The sequence below is a fragment of the Homo sapiens genome, chromosome 9 (genome assembly GCF_000001405.40).
Source record: "Homo sapiens chromosome 9, GRCh38.p14 Primary Assembly".
Taxonomy (NCBI): Eukaryota; Metazoa; Chordata; class Mammalia; order Primates; family Hominidae; genus Homo; species Homo sapiens.
Window position 1 is genome coordinate 117457375 of NC_000009.12, and position 9531 is coordinate 117466905.

The 9531-nt window shown below is 41.5% G+C and overlaps 1 long non-coding RNA gene across 7 annotated transcripts in view; it reads right to left on the minus strand.

Annotated features, from left to right (window-relative positions):
• The window catches only part of LOC105376242 (uncharacterized), a 35678-nt gene extending 26884 nt beyond the window's left edge, over positions 1–8794 (minus strand). For all 7 annotated transcript variants that reach the window (XR_930281.3, XR_001746912.2, XR_001746911.2 and 4 more), the window contains exon 1: positions 8561–8794. This is a non-coding gene — a long non-coding RNA (uncharacterized LOC105376242). The remainder of the gene's footprint in view (positions 1–8560) is intronic.
• Positions 8795–9531: the final 737 nt, after the last annotated feature.

Here is a 9531-nt window from a genome sequence, read left to right on the forward strand (position 1 = left end):
CATACATTGATAGAAATATTGAAATTATAATTTTGAAGAACTGCTGGTGGATGAGTATGAACAAGCATGGGAGTGAGAAATGCCTGGGGGCCTCAGACTAAGGGGGACCCTTATACTTTTGTGGGCTTTACAATAAACCTGCCAGGTCATTTGCGAAATGAAGGCCTCTACTGGGAACTCTACTAGGTTTTCAAGTTGAAGATCTGTAGAAGAGCCCCTTGTGTCTCTGGCAGGTAGATGTGAAGTGAAGAGTAATCATGAAATCCTCCCAGAGCCTCTTCATACAAAGGCACATACTCCAGGCAGAAACACTGCCATGACCTTATTCCAGTTGGAAGAAGGAAAATTCTATTACTCCAGCCCCTATAGTATAACTTTCACCTAAGCCAAGGTGGGATCAGTAGGGGTTTGGGGTTTAAGGACATTGGGAATGCTTCAGCCAGGAAAGAGAGTAGGTGACAAGTAGAAAAATGATTTTTGTAGTACAGAGGAGTCACCCAATTACAGTGCTAAGACACAACCTCAGGAAAACATTGAGATTTTGTGAGAATTTTACAGACAAAGAGTGAACCTTGATGTATGTAAATTTAAAAATGAAAATTTAGGAGTTGAGAGAAGCTCAGGATAGAATGCATGTGTAACAATGCATTTATGTAATAAATATACAAAATGACCTCACTGAAGAGGGTGGGGAAAAATGAAGCTAACTTAAGTAACTTTGGAAATGATTGGCGTCTGGAAGTCTAAAGGCAAAGAAACTGTACATAAGTACTGTACTTTTGTTGAAAAAGCTGTTTCTCATGGAGGTACAGGTTAACAATTCTAAAACCACTACATGTGTATGCTGGAATTGAATAATTAAGTAAATGGATGGCAGATGGCGGGAGCCAGGTTTCTCACTGCTGGAGGGGAAGGTTGCAAATAAACAAGGAGAGGAAGCTAGAATGGTCCATGTGGTAATGGATTAGAGTTGAAGACATCAATATGAGCTCGTGTTTTGCTTAACATAGACACAGATGATTAAATACAGAACTATATATAGGTATGTGTACATAAATGGGTTAGTACACAGACATACAGTTCCTTACTCTGTCAGCTGGGTGACTTTACAACCAATGACACCCTAATAACCAGTAGTAACAAGCATACCCAGTGTCTGTATCTTGGTTTCTAACGCCATTCTCCAGTGGTACTTGGAGAACGGTATTGGAATTTCAAAGGTTACTTCGAAAAATGTCTAAGACTGGTGCAGGAAATATACAGGGTAAACCCAGAGTATCTCATAGTACCAGAAAGTATACCACTTTAGAAAAAACACACACACTGTAATGGGGATGTCAAAGGGATGCAGGAACTAATTGCAAGAGCTCTCAATGGTCAATGCTGGAACAATTTGAGCAACGCAAGAGAGTTTATGTAGCATTGGATTCTAATCAAAAGTATAAAATAAATATTCCATGAATCCATATTGACTTAAATCAATGCTGGGGTAGATAAATGAATGGGGGAATATAGACAAATGTCCCATGCAGAAGAATTTTAAATAATTTATATATATATACACACATTCTGTTCTCAAGAAGTTAGAGCCTAACTCCCTCTGTTCCATAGATGTTGGCTATGCATAATGACTTTCTTCCAAAGATTCTAGTATGAAAAGGAGGGGAAAAAAAGAGTAACTTTAGTGGGAAAACATGAAAAACACCATCTTCGCCATGTGATCAAGCTGGACATTATCAGTAATGTCATGTTGAGTGATCAAGCTGGACATTATCAGTAATGTAATATTGAAAGTATGTCCCCTTGATATGAGATGATGAAAATGACACTTTACCTCTGTGATCGTCCTCCCCCAAACCCATAACTCCAGTCTAATTGTGAGAAAAAAACATAACGCAAATCCCAGTTGAGTGACATTCTATTAAAACTGTCAAGGTAATCAAAAACAAGGAAAATCTGAGAAAATGTCTCAGTGAAGCCTAAGGGGACCTGATGAATAAATGTAATGTAGGAGGCTGAAACACAAAAAGCATGTTAGGTAAAAACTAATACAATTTGAATAGTGTGTGTGTGTGTGTGTGTGTGTGTGTGTGTGTGTGTGTTAATGAGTAATAGCATCTTAACATTATTTCATGAATTGTGACATACTAATGTAAAATGTTAATAATAGAGCAACTTGGGTGCGAGTGATATGGAAACTCTGTACTATCTTCACAATTTTTCTGTAAATCTGAAAGTATTCTAAAATGTAAAACATTTATTAAAAAATACTGGGCACTGCAGCAAGCTTGGTGAGAAGAATATTTTTAGGCAGGAGAAGAAGCCAAGGAAATCAGCATAGTGTAAGGATACCGGGCTTTGGAGCTTAACAGAACTGGGTTTCAAGATAAACTCTGCTATGTTTTGAATGTGTGCTGCTAAGCATCCAATCTAACCTGTTTTCCCACGTTAAATAAGTATTATGTGACAATTATAGTTGAATTGCTTTAGGTATGTGGTACATAGTATGTGCTTTGTAGCTGGTACTACCATCATCATTATGACATGAACCTTCTTGGTTTAGATGTCTATTCTGCTTATCAATATCCACAGGATAGTTGTCTGTAGCATATGTGGATGACTATTGCTTTCAGATGGGACTTCTTGTATTCAACCCAAATCTATCTTGTTATCCAAGCATGTCCACTCTTGGGGAGACAGAAAGCAGATGCTCCCCTTTCTCTGAGCAGATGCCAAGTATTTAGTCAGATTTTTCTGCAGACTCAGCACTTCTTCTCTACCTTTGTGTATAAAGTGGTCTTTTTATTATTGCAACTAAGGAGACTGCTGGCTGGAATGATTATTATGCATGTTATAAATAAGTGTTAATGATTTTTTCAGTTTACAAAACCACAGATATTCATTATGGAACACTGACAACATGCTAATAATAATAAAAAAGAAATAAAAATCACCTACAATACCACTGGTCATATGGTTTTATTATCTACTTTGAAAAACCAATATATCTATATAGTGAACATGCAGTCATGTTTGTGTTCCTAAATATTATCACCCAAGCAATTTTTAATTGCTGCACAGAATTTCACATATAACTGTGCCATAGCTTTATTCGTTCATTTGCCTACTTTGGGGTGCTTGGGAGAGCTGCCTTTTGATATTATAAATACCTTGGTGGCGAATATTCTTGTAAATTTTTACCTATGCTTTAAAATATGTCCTTGGGAATAGTGTGTTATTTGTCATTGTCGCATGGGCTGATGGGTACCATGAAGAAGCAAATTTCCATGGCCCTAAAATCAGTGCTGTGCTTAGGCCAGAGGAAGTGTGAGGAGGAGGGGTGGGAAAGAGGAAGATCAAAATGAATACTTGAGTGATTCAATAAAAATAAAACAAAACTTGTATTTATGCTAGACTAGATTTTGAGTCTCACTTAGTATCTAGCCCACAGCCTTATTCTACTGGCAAAGATTCCACTCTGGTACCTGCACCTATAGGGGCAGATGCCCTTTGTAGCTAGATATGCTTGGATAAGTATCTCAATTATGCCACACGCTGGCAGCATGACTCATAGCTCCAAGTCTCATCGTATTCATCTGTAAAATGGGCGTAGTCTTGTAAGAACTCAAAGAGAGAATACAGGTAAAGAGCCCCTACTGGCCCCCCATCATACCTAACAAAGGATCCCATTCACCTGAGTGATGTTTGAATTTTTCCACAGCCCCACAGCTGGGCATTTTTTCCCCTGAGCTTTCATCAATTTACAATATCTAGAGAATATTTTCCTTCTGAGAAAAGCAAAAAGATATTTTTCTCCCTCTTCTCCTGTCTGCATCCTCACAGCCCCAAGCCCTTCTGAGACTCCTATGATCACAAAATCATTTCCATTATAATCAGGGCTAGGAAGAATATCTGCCCCTGAGAAACAGGGTTTTAATTCAGCCAGGGTCCCTGGATGCCTCGGTGTCCAAAATATGTTACTCACATTTCCTTAGCAAATACATGGGTAAAAAGAAGAGGCAAAATCCTACATAGGGTATAAATCTAATAAACCCTAGAGAATTCCACTCTTGCTTTTTTTCCCCTTCATTTTCTTTTGTGAGTCACGCAATTCGAGATAGCCTCAACTTCATATCAGAAGGAGCCTGAAGAAAACAATATAAGCTGGGTAGCCAGGCATATCAGGGTTTCAATCAGTGGCTCTGGCTCTGCTACTTACTGGCTTGTGATCTCAGGCAAGTTAATTCATTTTTCTGCATCTCGGTTCCTTCATGTGCACACTAAGGATAATAACAGCTGGTTGATAATGATTTCATGATTAATAGGAAATGCAGAGTCTAGTGCCTGAGACATTGCAGCATTGCCCCATTTGCTGGTTCTTTTACCCATCCCAAACTTTCCTTACTACACCTCTATTAAAGTTACTGTAAGAAGAATACAAAATTACTCAACAGTAAATCCCTCCATTGTGTCTTCAGAGTGCTTTGATAATAACGGTTGCCCAAAAACCCTACTACAGGCGCCCGCCACCGCACCTGGCTAATTTTTTTTTTTTTTTGTATTTTTAGTAGAGACAGGGTTTCACCGTGTTAGCCAGGATGGTCTCGATCTCCTGACCTCTTGATCCGCCCACCTCGGCCTCCCAAAGTGCTGGGATTACAGGCGTGAGCCACCCATCCGGCCTAACGAGACTTATTTTTACTCAACTAGATGGCGTTCATTCATTTGCTTACTCAGCTGTGCCAGGAATTAAGTTGGGCACTGGGAATTCCAAAACCAACAAGACATTCTCTGTCATCAGGGAACTCACAGCCTAGTATGAGAGATAAACAAATGAACATGAAATTATAATTCAGTAACAAAGAATGAGTGTTATGGCAGAGGGAATGTGTAAGAGCTTGGCAGGGTATCCAGCAGGGATACCTAACTAAGCCCCACTGGGGAAGGCATCCGAACAGAGGGGACAGCTGAGCTGAGTTCAATGAGCCAGTAGGAATTAGGTTGATATAAGTCAAATCATTTAGTGTTTATGACAACTCTGAAAAATAAGTATTTCCATTTTACAGATGTGAAGCCTAAGTCTCAAAGAGTTATCCAACATCATCCAGAAGTGTGGGGACCCCACAATATCCAAGGGAACCTGGCCCCAAAACTCATGATCTTTCCCCTTTACTGTGCTGCCTCTTCAAGACTGAGAATCTGTCCTTGATGGGATTTGTTCAGGTACCATGTCAGGATGACTGTCTACGTAATGGAAGCCCTGTCGCCAGCTTTTCAGCTTCCTTTCAAATTCCCCCAACTCCTTCTTTTTTCACGCAGCAACTTGTCTCTTTCCATGGAAATGCTGGGGATTTAAAGAAGGCGGGGACTCAGCTTTGCTTCCACTGCGCAGCCCCAGATACAGGCTGCAGGAGTCCCAGCCACCTCCCTCTCATCATGCTTTCTTCCAGGGACAGAGTTATGGCCCCTAGGAGAGGTTTTGTTCCACCGGAACAGTCAGTTACTAATGAGCTCATGCTGCTTTTCCACCCCTGGGTCCCCAGCCATCCTCCAACCCTGATCTCCTAGGTCACCTTCATCTGGCAGCTGGAGACTGGTGGGAGTGTGTGTACATGTGGTGCTTAGCCTAGACGCTTCAGCATGCCCGTAGATTTCCCATGAATTCACTGGGTATGAGCCAGCCCCAAAGGAGAGGGCTTTAGCCTCTTGGACCACTGCCCAAAACAGACAAGCCTAGCCTCAGTACCTCAGGCCCTGTGGTTCCCTCTCTTCTGGGGAAAAGCCAATTTCTGATGGGCCACTAAGCTCTGGTCTTTTTCTGCCAGAATCCCAGGACCCTCTGCTAATCCGGTTCCTATTGCACAGATGATTGCATAATACCACAGGAATTCAAATGGGGAACATCAATATCATAGGAGTGAGCACTTACTGGGAACTTACAAGATACTCTTATATACTTTATTTGGGTGACTGTATGTGCTGCTTGCAATAACCCATAAGGTAGATACAATTATTATCTCTGTTTTATAGTAAGAAAATTAAAGCTTATGGGGGTATGTAATTTGCCCATCTTCCTACAATTGAAAGTGATAGGGACAGGATATTACCCTAGGAGCCTGACTTCAGAGCCTGTGACCCTAATGACCAACATGCAGGGAGAGAAGCTGTTGTTTGAGCACCCACTGTGTGCCAGGCACTGGGCTGAACACTGTGCATGGATTAACTTAGTGACTCCTGCCAACTAGCCTCTGAAGTATGTACTATTATTATCCCTATCTTACAGAAGAGAAAACTGAGATTTAGAGAAGTTACGAGATTTTCTGGGTCACACAGTGAGCAAGTTGCAGATCGGGATTAAAGTCCCAGACAGTTGAACTTCTGAGTACGCTTCCCTTGGCACCATGTTATACCATCTGTGCTGGGCTGAATAGTGTCCCCCCAAAATTGAATAATGTCCCCCCAAAATTCGTGTATACCCTGAACATTAGAATGTGATCTTACTTGGTATTACTTGGTATAGGGTGTTGTAGAAATAATCAAATAAAGATGAGGTCATACTGCATCAGGGTAGACCCTAAATTCAATGACCAGGATTTTTATAAGTGAAAGGAGAGGCGGATTCAGAGAAAAAGACACAGACACACACAGAGAGAAGACAGCCATGTGAAGACACAAGCATAAATTGAAGTGACACAGCTACAAGCCAAGGAATGCCAAAAATTGCTGGTAACCACCAGAAGTAGGAAGAGGCAAAGGGGAATTTTTTTCCAGAGACCTTGGCGGGAGCATGGCCATGCCAACAACTTGATATCAGACTTGTAATCCCTACATCTATGACAGAATAAATTTGTGTTATTTTAAGCCACTAAGTATGTGCTAATTTCTTATGGCAACCCTAGGACATTGATGTGCCATTGGAGTAGCCTGTTACCACTTTGAGAACAGGAAGCTCACTTTGATGCTCCCTATAAGATTTTTTTTTGGCTCCAAGAAATATGATTCCATTAATCTTAATTAAACAAAAAGAGGGCCCTGGAGATCCTGAGATGAACAATTATGGGAAGCCACGGCCATCGATGGGGTCAAGCAGCATGAATCCCTCCATCATGACATTGGGTTCTCTGGAACAGGGGAGAAGGGCCTGAGTTTTCCAGCAAGGTGGCATTGGACGAATCCATTAATCTTTTAGACTCAGTGTTCATATCTATAAAAGGGGGATAATTCTATCCTTGCAATGGCAAAGGCTGAATAAAGTAGTGGATATACCATGCTTCACACATAGCAGAGCAAAATATATGCATTAGACTTCCACCCCCATTCTCAGGGGAGTTCCTTTGAAAGTGGTGGTATTTTTGGAAAGATGTTCCCAATAGGTGAGGGGCCAAGGCTCTTTGGGCTTTAGGGCAGATCCGTTGGGTTCTATGGGGATGTTTGTTCAACAGACCTGTGCTTGTGCTGGAGGGGTGTTAGTGAGGATTCTGCAGATCAATGTAGCCAAACATTTACTGACCCTTCACTATGTCCTGGGCACAGGGCTAGGGGCCATAGTAGGAGAGGAAACCCCCAAAAGCTGTGTGCCAGATTGGGTTTGCTTGCTCTGCGGTGGAGTTTAGCTGTACCTTTCTATATTTAGATTCTATCTTTGTCAAGCAAGATGACTTGTTTGACAGGGCTCTGGTTTTTCATCTCTGAAAAGCTACTCATCCACAGAGCTTGGGATTGAGGGGAGAGGAAAGGGGGAGGAGATCTGGCTTCTCTCCCCAACTCTGAACAGATGGGATCAGAATAGGGCCCTTCTACATCCCTAGCCAAGATGCCTGGGCCTTGGCAGTTGTCCCAGGACATAGACAATGGGGTCTGATGGCAGCTTCTCAGACCTGGCTTTCCCTGGGCAAGAGGCTTTTCCTGAGGCTGGCAATGCCATTTCTTCAGACTCAGAAAAGGGATTTAGGGAGAGGGAAATGGGGACTGCAATGAGGCAACTCTTGACAGCTTACCCTGGAAAACTAGGACACAGCTTGTGGGAGCCCAGCCCAGCAGCTCTGCCATCTGACCCTTCTTCTGCCTCTGCCAGGACTACTGTCCTGGAAGACAGGCAGAAATGGCCCAGGGACACTGGTCTCCTGGGTGCTGAAAAGAGAGACCAGGGTCTGGGAAAAGGGGTGAGGAGTGAGGGGAGAAGGGACAGGTTGCTGGGATGGTGCAGGTAGCTAATCTGGTATTTCTCTTTTTGGTGAAGCAGGGCTTTGGGGATAGGCAGGAGCAGGTAGCTTCTGAGCACAGCCACCATAGAAAAGATTTAACATTAGGTAGGGGAAGAAGTTTATGTGCTCATACATCTTAGATACAGACTTAAAAAAATGAAGGGATCAGATCCTAAAGAGGCTTTCAGAGGTGCTTGAGCCCAGACTCCGGCCTTCAGAAAGATGAATTTCAAAACCACCCAGGGAGGATCACTGAACGACAATCCCTCCATTCATCTCCTGTTGACTCCATAATCGAAGCCACTTTTATTCCCCATAAGCCCTCAGCTCCCGCCCTTTCTAAGTAGATGACTTACCCTGTTCTTCATTGAAATTAAGTCCATCTGGCATGATCTCCCTTGACTTCTTTCCTCTCTTTTTGAACATGTGTTGATCCTCAGCCCAGCAGATTGTAAACTCCTCAAGGGCAGGTGCCCTGTTTTAATCCTTGTCTGTGTCCACATAATCAGGCATAAAAACAAGGGGAGGGGAAGAATAGAGAGGAAGAAGGAGGGAGGGACAGAGAGAAAAAGGGAAAGGGAGATAACGTAAATAGAGAAAAATGCAACAACATAATGGAGAAACACACAGAAAGAAAATCAGAAACAGAACCCCAAGGCATAAAAAAAAATCCCTGTTATGTGCTAGGCACAGTGTTACAGGGATGTTAAATGCATTTAGGAGGGGAAAGCAAACAACCAAATACGTCATTGAATTTTCTGTGCAAACTGCTAAGGGCAATAAATGTTGGTTGCCACCTATAAAACAACTCATAGATGAACACAGATAAAACCAGTAATTTTTCCTTTCCCTATACACACCTACTTGACCCCCTCCACATTGTAATAAATATCAACGATTAAGTGTGTTAGCTTTTACCTACCTGGTTTTTCTATATGCTTGTACAAACATTAAGTTTCTTTTTATTCTATTTCTTTTACAAAAAACAATATTCTACTGTAACCATTTACTCTGCATTTTGTCTTTTTCTCTAACACTATATCACAGACATCTTTTTTAGCCAATACACATAGATCTAACTAATTCATTTAATATGTAAGCTGCTCTCCATGAAAGATATATATCAGAATTATTCTACTATTGACAGACATCTAGGTTGTTTCCAGACCCTTTTTATGCTACAATAAACAATTATCTAATCAAAATATTTGACTATATATTTATGTATACTGGTGTTTTCATTTCTGTACACTGGTTTCCTTCAAGTAGGATTTCTGGGCTAAACAGATATAATTTTTAAGTTTTATTACATGCTGCCAGCTTAATT